The following is a 14,537-nucleotide window of genomic DNA, read 5'->3' on the forward strand; positions in this document are numbered from 1 at the left end:
AATGAAGGGAGAATTGTGGGAGAAAGGAAATCATGAAAAAGAATATTGTGAAAGAACAGAATTATGAGAGATAATGGGGAATTATGGGAGAGACTGGGGAATAAGAACAGAGTATTGTGAATGAACAGAACATTGTGGAAATGAATAATTTTGAGGAATTGTGACAGACAGAGTCATAGGGAATGATGGAAAAGACAGAGAACTGTGGGAGGAATGGAACTGTGGGAAACAGAATTTTGAGAGATACAAGAATTTGTAGGAAAGAATAAAGGCTTGCTGGGAAACCCAGCAAATTTTGGGAAAAACAACAGAATTACGGGCAAGACAGGGAATTGTGGGACAGAAAAGTGAATTGTGGGAGACACAAGGAATCATGGGAGAAACAAGAGAATTGTGAGCAAGACAAGGAATTGTGGGACAGAAAAATGAATTGTGGGAAGGAATAGAATTTTGGGAGTGACATGGGATTGTGGGAGAAATAAGGAATTGTGGGAGAGACAGAAGATTGTGGAAAGAACTGAGAATTGTGGGAGACAGAACTGTGGGTAACAAAACAGAATTGCGGGAGTGAAAAGGAATTGTGGGAGGGACAAAAGAATTGTGGGTAAAGAGAGAAGTTGAGCTGTGATAGTTGAAATGGAATCCTTGGGCTATCCTGTAGGCAGTTCTGATGCTGGGATGGCCCTTCTGAGTTGTCCCCTTTGGGGCTAGGGGCCTGGACTTATGTGCCCTTGCAGAGACCCTCATAGGATGCAGATCGTCCCCAAGGAGGGGAAGTGATTTTGTGTGAGGCAATTCTCTTAGGCAGAGGACAATTCCTGGAGACTCAGCTGAAAGCTGTGAGCCCCCAACACTTTCTGCACCAGGGGACATCTGGACGTATTTCACAGAGCCACTATAGTTATATAGAAAGATATATGTTTCTTTATTAACACTTTAAGTAACAAGATCAAATTACCTTAATTTCAAAGTAGTGGATGGATGATATTTTGAGACAGGCACAACAACCATATGTGACATAATTTATCTGTAATGTGTATTAGTGCCACATACAGCTAATAGTACTAGGATTTATTGCCTACATCCCTGATGGAAGAAAATGCTAAATTTCTGTTGGAGGTAAATGAAAATACAGACATTCAAAATCACATACCCAGTTAAGAAGAATTTAGCAGCCAGAACACTGTCTTGTTCACTTTTGGATCTCCACCACCGAAGTTATGGGCACCTACTAACGTTTCTTGAATCATTGCTACAATTAAAACCGATAAGATTTAAAAAAAAAACAAATTTAAAAACTCCTCCAAAGCACTCCTTCTGCCGCATAAAGCATACATAGTAGAGCTCTTCACTCTAGGGAAGCCTCTGGAGCAGACAACCTTCCCTGCCACCGCCACATTTTGAAAAAGGCTCCTGGCCTGGAGGGGCGGGCCCAGAAAGCGGCCCCCGCAGCAGTTACAGGCCGGGGCGAGGAGGGGACGGAACCCGCTCTCCGTGATTGACGGAAAATATTACTCTTCAGCCCGCCTCCCGCGTGCCCGGAAGTCCCGCCTTCTAAAAAGGAAGTAGGGGTGCGTGAGAACGCCGGCGGTGACCGCAGCCACAGCGGTGACCGAGTGAGAGGAAGGCGGCGGCGGCGGCGGCGGCGGCGTGAAGTCACTGCTGCTCTGGGTTCGGGTTGGCGACTGAAGGCGGTACCGGCCTCCCGGAACAGCCCGGGGGAGGGCTTAGGTGCAGAAGGGCAGGCTGGCCGCGGCCGGTTTGGTCTGGGGACCACGGGCTGGAGCAGGTGGGCAAGCGCCGGGACGGTGTGGGGAAGACACTTGGCAGCTTCTCGACCTCTGGTGTCCCTTCGTTTCTTCGAATTCCTATTCATGCGCCGCACCCTTCTCGGACCCCCAGCCCCTCGCTAAGGCTCTGGGGATGGGGGTCAAGTCTAGGCTCAATGGACCTCCCCTCCTCCACCCGGGTCACCACTCCTCGGAAATCCTCGCCCCACTCCCGCCTCAGGCCTGTACCTCCTGGCTGTGACGTGGTTTCTCAGCGACTGCCTCACCTCAGTCCCAAAATCCTCACTGCCTTAGATACATACGTGCCCCCAGAGGTTGGCCTGGGTTTCACAGTATTTCCCTAAGGGGGCAATATATTAAAGCTGTCCTTCGAAGTTAGTACCCTGCCTGGTAGATGCCCATGGGATGACAAAGAGGAGGAACAAGGGTTGACCAGATTAGGACTAACGAGAGAATAGTCTGAGTCCAGAGACATTAATCTGTCTCTTTGTTTTGGCAGGTGGAAATTTAAAATTGTTTACAGTCAACACTGTTTCCAGCCATGGGTTTGTCTCCATCTGCTCCTGCTGTTGCAGTTCAGGCCTCAAATGCTTCAGCGTCCCCACCTTCAGGATGCCCGATGCATGAAGGGAAAATGAAAGGTAATCGGCCCTTTGCCTAGAAAATAAAAACAAAAGATAATTCACGGCTGGGTGCGGTGGTTCACGCCTGTGACAGCACTTTGGGAGGCCGAGGTGGGTGGATTGCTTGAGCTCAGGACTTCGAGACCAGCCTGGGCAACATGGCAAAAACCTCCCTCTACAAAAAAATACAAACATTAGCCAGACGTGCTGGTGGGTGCCCGTAGTACCAGCGACTTTGGAGGTTGAGGTGGGTAGGATCGCCTGGGAGGCCAAGGTTGCAGTGAGCCAAGATTGTGCCACTGCACTCCAGCCTGGGTGACAGAGTGAGACTGTGTCTTAAAAAAAGTCTGGAAAGCCTCTAAAGGAAGAGGCAGTGTAGTATGCTGCTGAGGCTGGTAGGCATGGGAGTCAGGCACCCTGGGTCTGGTCGTTATTTTGCGTCTTATTGAGGTTTGTGACTCTAAACAAGTTAACTCTGTTAGCCTCAGTCTGTCATCTGTAAGATGAAGATATAATAATGTTTCACAGGCCTGTCATGATGATTGAGGTAGTACATGAGAACGTAGTGAGTACTCTAAACCAGCCCCAACTTCCCAAAGTTTACTTGTGCCTACATCAGTGGTTCTTAACTGGAGGGGGGCAATCCCCCCTTCCCACAGGGGACATTTGCCAATATCTGGAGGCATTTTTGGTTGTCACAACTGAGAGGAAAGTGAATAGAGGGCAGGAGTGCTCCTAAACATCCTACAATGTACAGAACAGCCCCCCAACAAAGAATCAGCTGGCCCCAAATATCAAGAGGGCCAAGGTTGAGAAACCTTAGTCTAGATCTAGCTGTCTTAATAAATAACTTTTGCTCGTATAGCCATTTCAGTATTTTCGTATATAAAAGTAAGCCATCACTTAACGGGCTTGCTGTCCATTCTTTAGATAAGAAAATGAAAATGGAAAAGCTGTCTTTCATTTTTAATTCATTCATGTCTACTTTAGATTTTTTATATTAAAGTGTGGCTTGAATCAGTAAGTCGTGAAGGGCAGAAGCAACATGGTGTGCTTACTGAGTACTAATGTTTGCGCTGTTATTCATTTCTTCAGTCAGCCAGCCTATTCTGAGAGGTCACTGCCCATTCTGTACCAAGCATTGCTGGATTTTGTTTGTTTCTGCACGAGAGAATAACATCATACAAAATGGAGCTTTGCCTGATAGAGCTTACATTCTCATCTTCATAAGCTATGTGGTCTTACGACTTCATAAGCTAAGTTTTCTCCCTATTTTATAGTCAAGGAAACTAAGACTTGGAGTAACTGATGCTCCAAGTCACATAGTAAGTGGCAAAGCCAGCAAAAGTTCTGTGACCTTGGACAAGGACAGGCAGTGTTCTTCTGGGGTTTCTTTGTACAGGAAGAATTGAGACAGATCAGCCAAAGCAGGTGTGCTCCTGTTCTGAGTGTCCTCAGGGAGATTCTAGAACCCTTACTTTGGTTTTATTTCATTTGCTGTATATCTTGGAGAGCTGCCAGACTTACTACATTAATAAAGAATGTGGGTGTCTATAGGAGATCGAAGGGGCTACTGGTTATATGACGTGAAAAGTTGAAATGTTATTTTCTTTGTAACACCCAGCTGGGATCTATGACTTGGAAAGGATTGGTGCTTTCAGTGGTAGAGAGGAAAGGCATAGCAAGTCTTCCTTCACCCCTAAAGTGGGCAGTGGCACAGGGCACCAGGAAATGAGGGCTTGGGAGGAGAAGTGCAGGGAAGGAAGTGAAAGCAAACTCAGCTTTTTCATGTGTATTGCTGTAGTTGCTGCTGCTGCTGCCTGAGGCCAAGATTCCATTACATGAGCAGCTGTCTTCTGTGTCTCAGCTCTCCAAGTGCCTGCTCATTCTCTGAACCAGTTTCCCAGTCCCTCACTAATTGGGATCAGCATCCTGGGTCTTTGGGCATAGCCCTTGCTATTGCTCATCTCATTAGGCTCAGACCTTCCCTCGTAATGGGCATCTTGATCCTGTATGGGTTGTGGAATATTTTCTTTATTGTCTGTCTTTTCCTGTTAAACTCTTGCCATTGACTGATGGGAATAGGCCATAGGCCACGTGGTTTTCCTGTGCCTTGTTTCAGTCTTGAGACAAAGCAGAGTGGCATTCAGATTTTTTTGCAGTAGCCTCTGTGATGTCTCCTCTGTTCATTTTCTCCTCCCCTTCCTTGTACCTGAGATAATGCATCAGTAATGAAAGCCTGGATTGCAACTGTGTCCTGATTGGATCTGGGCTTCTCTGGAACTAGTGAATGGAAAGTCAAGGAGACCCTGTGAAATGTGGCTGGTCCCCTCTTAGGTTCCTCTAACAGCTCCCCAGCTGCTCATCCAGCCAGGTTACTCAAACCATGGCACAGATAACACATGCTCTTGCAACTGCCAAGGTTTTTTGGCTTATTTTTGCTGGGGGTGTGACACAATTAGAGAATGTATACTCATTTTTCTTTCAAAGGAAATGTAAATTTTAGAACCTTCTCATCTTTAGGATTTTGGAATGTTAGCTAGTTCAGTTCTTGATAGATTTAAACAGAAGAAACCTGGCTTTTCCTATGGTGGTAATCATTGGTCAGAAATTCAGCTCTTTAGTGCTCCAATTGAGAGAGTTAGATGTCCTGCCTTCATGGTGACACCATTTTTATACTTGATTATTTCAGGCTGTCCAGTGAATACAGAGCCATCTGGCCCAACCTGTGAGAAGAAAACATACTCTGTGCCTGCCCACCAGGAACGCGCCTATGAGTACGTGGAGTGTCCCATTAGGGGCACTGCGGCTGAGAATAAGGAGAACCTAGATCCTTCAAATCTGGTAATCCACACTCATCTTTTCTTTCTGGAGCTTTTTATGCAGGGTTGCTTATACAGACTCCCAAGACAAGTTGCAAATGGCTAGGATGAATTCTTCTGTCCTTTGAAAACAGAGAAGTTAGATATTCTATCTACAGTGAAAATCTAGAATGTGTTAGTAAGTGTAGTTTCAGGGAGTGCCTGGGAAAAAAACCAGAGTGATTATGAGGAGCCAGCATAGTTGTACTGGGAATAAGCCATACCAAATGAATATTTTCTTCTGGGACAGTTACTAGGTGGTAGATGGGAAATTCTGTAAGAACCATAGCTAGAGTTAGTTAAGGTATCTTTGGTCTGGGGAAACTTTGTAGACACATTACATGATTGGGGAACTTCTTCAGGTACAATAGGGTGCCAGCCTGCCCGAGTCACTAGGGTGGTTCACTGTCGTGTGACTGCCAGCAAATTTAATGCCATTGAGAAGTGAGGGCAAGGTTGATGTGACATCACTACATTTTGTGATAGACAACATCAGAAATTGTGGTCTAAAGTTTGGAATCGTGTTTTAACGGGAGGCTCAGGCATATACTTCAGAGGGCCACAGGATTATCAAGAATAGAAATTTTAGTGAACCAGACAGCCTGTAAAGAAACTAGAAATATTTAGCCTGGAAAAGAAAGGGCGTGGGGGATACAATAGCAGCGTCCACCTCAGGAATCAACAAACTATGGCCCACTGCCTGTTTTTGAAAATGAAGTTTTGGACAATGCACCAAGATTATCTTGCACATAGGCCTTCAAATATTTACACCAGAGGTCATTGGCAAACTGCTTCTATAAAGGGCCAGGTAGTAAATATGTTTGGTTCTGTGGGCCGTAGGGTCTCTGTCACACTACCCAGTTCTGCTGCTGCTGCTTTCTCTGTAGCATGAAAGCAGCGACAGGCAGCATTATCCGAAGCCCCTGGCAGACCACTGGCCTAGATGATCTCTAATAGGTGAGTGGTTCAGAACATGGGCCTTTTGGAACCTTACAGACCTAGACACTTACCCCATGGGATCATGATATGTAGTGAGAATGTGAATAACAGCTAACTTTTCTTGTGGTCACTTTTTAAAAATTTTTTATTCAAGGCTAGCCAACTGAAGCAGTGGGAGAGGAGAAGGAACAAAGAAATCTGTAACTGGTTGTGATCAATTAGTCGTAAACACTACTGTACTCAGACCAGCCTCTTTTGGTCACTTTTCTAGCGTTTAAGCTAAGCACCCTACATTCTCCCCTTTAATCCTCATAACAACTCTGTGCAGCCAGTATTCTTAGTGTCCCCATTTCAGAGCTAAAGATACTGAGAGTGAAGGAGTCATTCATCCCACATCACCAGCTAGGAAATGGCAGAGCCAAAACTGAATCCTTATCCACCTCAGACCCATGTTCTTAAACACACTGTGGTGATAATGCAGGTAGAATACTCTGCAGTGCCTACTACACATAGCCCTTCCTGCTGTCGGTATTCTGAGGGCCTTGTTGTGATGGAGACTTTTAATTAATGTTTACTAGGAAATCCTTTATACTTCTAACACAGAAAGTTCAAGGCCAGTCATTCCCAACCTTGGGTGATTTTGCCCCTCAGGCAAATATCCTGCTGAACATCCTGCAGTGCTTAGACCACCATAACTAAAAATTGTCCAGCTCCAAATGTCAATAGTGCCACGGATGAGAGACCCTGGCTAAGGCTAAGTGCTAGCATAACAGTATTGGTGACCCACATGTCTGGGAGAAGGGATTCTTCCCACCTTCTGACCTCGCAGCGTTGAGATGCAAAGACTCATCTGTAATATATTTTGCCTAAGGGATGAAGCATAAGCAGAAACCTAAAAAATCTGAGAATATTTTTTTAAAAAAGCATTGCTGTACATGTGTGCTATGAGAGTTTTCCCCAGAGAATGAATAGTCATTTTTGAAAAGCTTGTCGTAAAGTTTTTAGAAATGCCTGAAGATCGTGGCGTTAGTTTCTACTTCTTATTCCTTGGTGACATTACTTCTAAATTTGTTCAAAGGAGAAAGAGGCCAAAAATTTAACCACAGTGTTTACCATATTTGAGAACTTAATCAGTGAAGAAACACAACCTCAGTAATGTGACTCTTCAAAACAGTCAAATTATGTGAGAAGTCTGAAATTTTGATGTCACTGATTTAATAAGTAATCTGTGCTTTTTGTGTGATGTATTGCTTTCCAGGAAGTAGTTAATTATATTGCCTTTTACTTTATATCCTATAAAAGCAAATCTGTTCATTTTATTTAGATGCCACCACCAAATCAAACACCAGCTCCAGATCAGCCATTTGCATTGTCTACTGTCAGAGAAGAGTCATCCATTCCGAGAGCAGATTCAGAGAAAAAGTGGGTTTACCCTTCTGAGCAGATGTTCTGGAATGCAATGTTAAAGAAAGGGTGAGTGAACATATTATTTAAGATAAAAATTTCTTGTCAGAATATCCAAGAGTTATATGCTAAAGAGATTTTTTACCTTCAAAACAATATAGTACATTTTTATGTATTAATCAGTTTATAATCACCTGATTTTTCACACCTGTCAGAATGTAAGTGCGAGACCAGTGTATTAAATCAGGGTTCTCAAGAGAAACAGAACCAATAGGATATGTGTAGGGGGGCAGGAGACAAGGAAGGCAGGAAGATATTTATTGTAGGGAATTGACTTACACAATTATATAAAGCTGTGGAGTCCCAAGATCTGTAGTCAGCAAGCTGGAGACCGAGGAGAGCCGATGGCACACTTCTGGTCTGAAAGCCAGCGGTCTCAAGATGCAAGAAGAACTGATGTTTCAGTTTAAGTCCAAAGGCAGGAAAAGTCCAATGTCCCAGCTCAAGCAGTCATGCAGAAGGCCTTCCCTCTTACTCATGGAAGGGTCAGCCTTTTTGTCATTCAGGTCTGCAGCTGATCAGATGTGACCCACCCACACGGAGTGGGGAGGGCAGTCTGCTTCACTTAGCCTACTGATTAGAATGTTACTCACATTCAAAAAACACCCTCACAGACACACCCAGCATAATGTTTGACCAAATGTCTGGGCATCCTGTGGCATAGTCAGGTTGACACATAAAATTAACCATCACAGCTAGTAATAGGTTTTTTAAAAAACTGAAAACACTGTTAGATAAAATGTTTAGAAAAAGTTAGGGGATCATTGATCAGTGGTACTATCTGAACAATTGTCACCTTAAAAATAGATGATTCTGTAAGTCTGGTTTACTGTGACTCAGTAAAATGAGACTAAGGTGAACCTTTTATATTTGTTTTCAATGCTTCTATAGTAGCTTTGGATTTATAGTGCTGCTCCATGATCATGGGTAAATCTTGAAAATGAGCCTTAGATCTGTTAAATTCAGAGAAAATGAGCATTCTTAGTTCTTTCTCAAAGGGGAATGTTGAATAAATCATCTTATGAAAATATGTGGATTAACTTTATGGCATTATCAGGAACAGTTGTCAAATTTTACCAAATATTCTTTCCTAGGTGGAAGTGGAAGGATGAGGATATCAGTCAGAAGGATATGTATAATATCATTAGAATTCACAATCAGAATAACGAGCAGGCTTGGAAGGAGATTTTGAAGTGGGAAGCCCTTCATGCTGCGTAAGTATGTTTGAGATCTTAAATGTTTCAAGCATCTTTGTTATTTCATATCAGCTTTCTAGAGTTTTAACATTCAAATCATTTGTTCTAATAAAACATTTTATGTAGCAGGCATGGCTCAGTGACAATTGTTGCATGACAGGCCACCCTTCTTAGTTGAAAAATAGCAACCATTTTATTAGGCTTGTGGATTCAGTGGGTCTGGGTAGCCAAGGACAGGGCAAGGATGGCTTGTCTCTGGTCCTTGATGTCTGGGGCCTCAGCTGCAAAGACTTAGTGGTCAGGATGGCTTCCGAGCCGTGGGCTAGAGTCTTCTGACGGCCTGCTGGTTTACTCCTCTGGCGAGTGGTCATGGCCTCTGAATATGGCTGTTTTCGGCTTCGTCATATGGTGGCTAGGTTCCAATAGCTAGAGTTCCAAAAAGCATCTCTATCTCCATTTTCTGACCCAGCCTGGGAAGTCCCAAAGTGTCAGAAGCCTGCCCAGATTCAAGGGGAGGGGACAGAGACCCTGCCTCTCAGCAGAAGGAGCATTACAGCCCTTCGAAAGCAGAGCATGTGGGAAGGGAGATGCTAAAATGCCATCTGCCCCAAGGGAGGTGGGAAAGACATTTTTGTTCCCTCAATAGCATTTATTGAATCCCCATTAGGACTAAACACAAAGAGATGTCTTAACTCAGAGCTCTTTTTCTCAAGGAGAATAGGTAAATGCAGCTGTGTGTGTTAAAGGAGACAGGACTTCAGTCTGTTGAGAGTAGTGGTTCTCACACTGGAGCGTGCATCAGGATCATGGGGAAGGTTTGTTAAAACCCAGCATGCTGGGTCCCACCCGCAGGATGTCTGACTGAGTCTGTTTCGGGTGGTGCCTAGACTGGGTGTATCTAGAACACTGCATATGCTGCTGGTTTGAGCCAGATTATGTCATAAACAGTGGTTTTAAATTCATTGCACAATGCGATTAATTAATTTCTTGGCTAAAGTCCACTTAATGATTTTTTTAAGGTGTTTTGTTTGTTTTTAATATTTGCACTCTGAAGTTCATTGGTTGCACTCCCTGGCTGTCACAGGCTGGGCCTCAGGCCTGGGGTGGGTGCATGTGAGAGGGGAACAACTGCAACCGTGTTGCCCTCAGTAATCTCTGGACTGAGAGGAGCCACAAGTGTTTGCAGTGACCTACTTTGAAAGTGTGTTCTAATTAAGACCACCTGCTAATTACTTGTGTGATTATGGAGCAAAGCGAAGAGAGAAAAGGGAATTTCAGTTTGTCAGTTTCAATTCCTTCTCCAGTTATTTTCTGGACGGTCAAAATTAAGTAGACCGTTTAAAAACTCATGCTATGATCTCCAGAAGAAAGTTTTGCCTAGATTGAGTTTACCTTTTTGCCTGTGATCCTCTTGAGAAGAGATGTTAAGGAGAGGAGTAGTTCCTAAAAGGAGAAGAAAAGTAACTCATAAGTCCTCAAATAGAAGTCCTTTATACTTTGGAAATTTTTCTCCCTCCCACTTACTTAGACACCTATCTTGTTATCCATGGGAGCAGCTAACAATATAGGTGGCCTGCTGACTTGGCCACCACTCCCTCTGTCTCGGTAACAGCTGTCTGTCTAGCCTGTAGGTGGGCTGTGAACTCCACGAGGACAGTGCTCAGAGGGTCTTGTATAGCAGGTCAGTGCCCTGCTATACCCTGGTGCCTACAGAGGGCTGGCACCTAGAGAGTCCTCAGCAGGGGTCTGCGGGTAGAGGGAGTGCATTTGCCAGCTAGGACTCTGCCACTCCTCATCTTATGTGTAGTTATTAAGGAGCTGGTCCAACATTAATTACAATCCATTTCTAGGGATTAATCCATCATTTTCTTTTCTTCATAAAGGCTGTTCATTGGTTTGAAATGAAAGAAGAGTATAGGATTTTCTTGTTTGTCTGAAAAACCCCAGCTGCTCTGTGCCAAAAAGAAGCATGATGCACAATACTTGAGGCTGTTTTTTTTTTTAATTTGCCTTTCCTCCTCCACCAAATGGAAAGGCCCTGTTTCCTGACTCCTCAAAGTGCAGTGTAGATATCCAGAAGGAAGGGGAGGCAATGGAATGCACCAGTCCAGAAGGAAAGAGGAACATTTTTAACAAATAGGCACTTGTTGTTTGAATTATTTTAGAACTTACCTTTCTCTGTAAATGTTATATTATGTGAAATGTATACAGGAAAAAAATGGATATTACTAAAAAATTAGAACATCATCTTTGTCAAAGAAAAGAAAATATTTTAACAGACTTTTCTTATTTGGGGAATTCTAGAGAGTGTCCTTGTGGTCCATCATTGATCCGGTTTGGAGGGAAAGCAAAAGAGTATTCACCAAGGGCACGAATTCGTTCCTGGATGGGGTGAGTGTCAGCGCAGAAGTGTTGTTTCACCATCCTCAGGTCAGGGTCAACTTTCTCTTCACACCAAAACCAGTCTAAGAATTGCAGTGCCATCTTGCAAAACTTAATGCATATTCAACTGTAGATGTCTTTCTCTCCCTGAGGTTTGCCCATTAATGGGCAGATTTATTAGGGTGTAGTAGATTGCTTCCTATATATCATAGGGTTGAATGGAGTTATTGTCAATGTTCTTGGATCTGCCCTCTTACTCTTCCCGTGATCTGTGTCTTTGGGTTTATGCACTTAGCCATCCTCCCTTTCTTTTCTAGCATACTTGAGATTTTTTGCTCACACCTGCATCTCTGCAGTATCTCAGCTGACCTCCCTGGCTTAGGTCTCTTCCCCATTGGCCTTATTCCTTTGTAGACAGATGAGCTGTCATCTGATACGGACTTATCACAGTTCTTCAGTGCCATCTTCCCTTAGTGCTGTTCACTGTGTAATTCTTCAAGTCTGACTTCCCCAGTTAGGTGTTTGGGAGCAGGTGTTTGCATGTGCTTCTTGAGTTTTCTCATGGCTTAAACCGGGACTGAATGTATTGCAAGCATTTTAACACTCAGTGGCATGTTTTTATTCCAGGTATGAGTTGCCTTTTGATAGGCACGATTGGATCATAAACCGTTGCGGGACAGAAGTTAGATATGTGATTGATTATTATGATGGTGGTGAAGTCAACAAGGACTACCAGTTCACCATCCTGGACGTCCGTCCTGCCTTAGATTCACTTTCGGCAGTATGGGACAGAATGAAAGTCGCTTGGTGGCGTTGGACCTCGTAAAGCACTGTTTCAGATGGAAAAATATAAACTATTTTTTTCTGAGCGATACATTAAACTATTTTCCCCAGATTGAATTGCACTCATGATGTAATGGGAACTTCAAGTGGGTAATCACACTTTTTCCTTCACTTAACGAAGGATACTATGCACTGTTCACTTTTGACTTGTGTTGTACCTTGCAGTTTATAGCAGATCATTTTGTTTTCTTCCTACTTAGCTTAAGTGGGAAGCAGTCTCTCAGTTTTTCCTTTACCTGCAGTATTGTCTGTATATTTCATCTCGAAAAGCCTGAACAACCTCTGAAAAAGAGCTTTTAAAAAGTGATGAAAGTTGCTTTTTTTTCTTACTATTTTCTCAGGAATACTCCAGAGATGTAAAGCCTGAGAGTCCATGGTGATGCTCAAGAGCTTTCATCTGGCCAAATATTTTAACTAAAGCTGTTCATTATAAATAAGAGGTGATTATACCTTTTTTAAAAAAAGTTACCATTATTTCTAAAGCCCCTATGGTATGATTGTGACCTTTAACAAAATGCAAAGGTATACACTGGAAAGGTACTCAGCAAAATTCTCTCCAAATTCTGATTTATATGAATTTCTTGGACTGGATAGAGTACTTTCAACTATACCTTCCTTTGGAACATACCTTTTAAAAAATGTTCCCTTTAAATCCTGTTATTCTAATATGTAACTCTGCTCCCAACAAACAGGTCTCCTCATTGTCCTTGGCATTTGACAAGTTATCCCAACTTCGAATCTCATTTCTTCCTTTGCTGGCAGCCTCCACCCTTCCCCACATCAGTCGGCCTAATCCAAACCTTGAAAGCCTGGCTTAAGTCCCAGTATCAGTGATGGTCCCCCTCTAAAACATGATTTTATATTTGGCTGAGTGTTAAAATTCACAAGATGAGCATTTTTTTCCCAGATGGAGAACGCTTCAACTCAGTCTAGATTTTTTTTGTTTGTTTTAAGGAAGCTCTAAGTTTGCCATTGAAACTTTTTGTACCAGTAATCCATAAACTGGTTGTTCTATTTATAGCAGCATGTTACAAATGACTGCTTTTTTTTTTTAACTGTCTATACTATTAAATCCTTTAATTTATCCTGAATGCTGTAGTGTTAAATTAGTGGATGAAATTGGCAGTCTGTGGGTGATTAATTTGGTATGGATTTGTCAGTTTTGTGTGGAGTTTAAGAAATAGAACAGCCTTAAACTCTACATTTCAAAATACTTGTATATTTTAAAATAAAGCTGATTAGTTCACAGGTTTTGAAAATTTTTTGGAATAATTTTACACTTAACGATTGTTTCTTCAGACGTATTATCTTTATAAAACCAATGCTTTATGATAGAATGATTTATAACCCAGCACACATATGTTTATTGCAGCACTGTTCACAATAGCAAAGACTTGGAACCAACCCAAATGCCCATCAATGATAGACTAGATAAAGAAAATGTGGCACATATATACTACAGAATACTATGCAGCCACAAAAAAGGATGAGTTCATGTCCTTTGCAGGGACATGGATGAAGCTGGAAACTATAATTCTCAGCAAACTATCACAAGAACAGAAAACCAAACACCGCATGTTCTCAAGAGTGGGGGTTGAACAATGAGAATACATGGACACAGGGAAGGGAACATCACTGGGGCCCGTCTCGGGGCCGGGGGGGGGTGGGGGGGGTTGGGGGGGGTGGGGAGGAGGCTAGTGGAGGGATAGCATTAGGAGAAATACCTAATATAGATGACGGGTTGATGGCTGCAGCAAACCAGCATGGCATGTGTATACCTATGTAACAAAAGTGCACGTTCTGCATATGTACCCCAGAACTTAAAGTATAATAATTTTTTTTTAAAAAAAACAATGCTATAGTCTCCCTACTCCAAGCAGCCACTTTTTCATCTACTAATCTTTTTTTTTTTTTTGAAATGGGAGTCACGCTCTGTCACCCAGACTGAAGTTCAGTGGCACAATCTCAGCTCACTGCAACCTCCACCTCCCGAGTTCAAGCGATTCTCCTGCCTCAGCCTCCCGAGTAGCTGGGATTACAGGTGCATGCCACCACGCCTGGCTAATTTTTGTATTTTTAGTAGAGACGGGGCTTCACCATGTTGGTCAGGCTGGTCTTGAACGCCTGACCTCATGATCCACCCGCCTTGACCTCCCAAAGTGCTGGGATTACAGGCGTGAGCCACCGCACCCAGCCCTAATCACATATTTTTAAACTGTAGAGGAAAATAATTACTGTTGGCATTTTTTGGGGGGGTCTTAAGTGCTATCGAATGAGTGTGGGATAAGACATTCTTATGAAAGACAAAACACTAACTGGAAACAAAAAATATGCCAAAGGCAGGATTCACCTGTTTTATAGGACTGTGGTAAACAAGCTTTAAACTCAAGCAAACTTGATGACAAGATCAAGTTTTATACATCGTTTTACTACTTCCAG

At 43.0% G+C, this 14,537-nt stretch overlaps 1 protein-coding gene and 1 long non-coding RNA gene across 6 annotated transcripts in view, besides 1 other annotated feature; one reads left to right on the plus strand and one right to left on the minus strand.

Moving 5' to 3' along the window:
• HCCS-DT (HCCS divergent transcript) overlaps positions 1-1,409 on the minus strand; it is a 263,596-nt gene extending 262,187 nt beyond the window's left edge. For all 3 annotated transcript variants that reach the window (NR_186561.1, NR_186563.1, NR_186562.1), the window contains exon 1: positions 1,154-1,409. This is a non-coding gene — a long non-coding RNA (HCCS divergent transcript). The remainder of the gene's footprint in view (positions 1-1,153) is intronic.
• On the plus strand, positions 1,603-13,357 carry HCCS (holocytochrome c synthase). 3 transcript variants are annotated; one of them, NM_005333.5, is made up of 7 exons: positions 1,603-1,789; positions 2,290-2,431; positions 5,106-5,257; positions 7,538-7,686; positions 8,772-8,891; positions 11,178-11,264; positions 11,883-13,357. In NM_005333.5, the coding sequence occupies exons 2-7, from the start codon at positions 2,332-2,334 to the stop codon at positions 12,079-12,081; spliced, it is 807 nt and encodes a 268-aa protein (NP_005324.3). In that variant the 5' UTR covers positions 1,603-1,789; positions 2,290-2,331; the 3' UTR covers positions 12,082-13,357. The 3 variants fall into 3 exon arrangements, with proteins under 3 accessions (NP_005324.3, NP_001116080.1, NP_001165462.1); NM_001122608.3 differs by having other exon boundaries at positions 1,603-1,731; NM_001171991.3 differs by having other exon boundaries at positions 1,603-1,694.
• Positions 1,632-1,761: an enhancer, noted in NCBI's record as "active region_29410". NCBI's record gives its function as "activates an Ori minimal core promoter by ATAC-STARR-seq in GM12878 lymphoblastoid cells {active_cell/tissue: GM12878}" and the evidence as "EXISTENCE:reporter gene assay evidence [ECO:0000049][PMID:35858748]".

Source organism: Homo sapiens, chromosome X, assembly GCF_000001405.40.
Source record: "Homo sapiens chromosome X, GRCh38.p14 Primary Assembly".
NCBI lineage: Eukaryota > Metazoa > Chordata > Mammalia > Primates > Hominidae > Homo > Homo sapiens.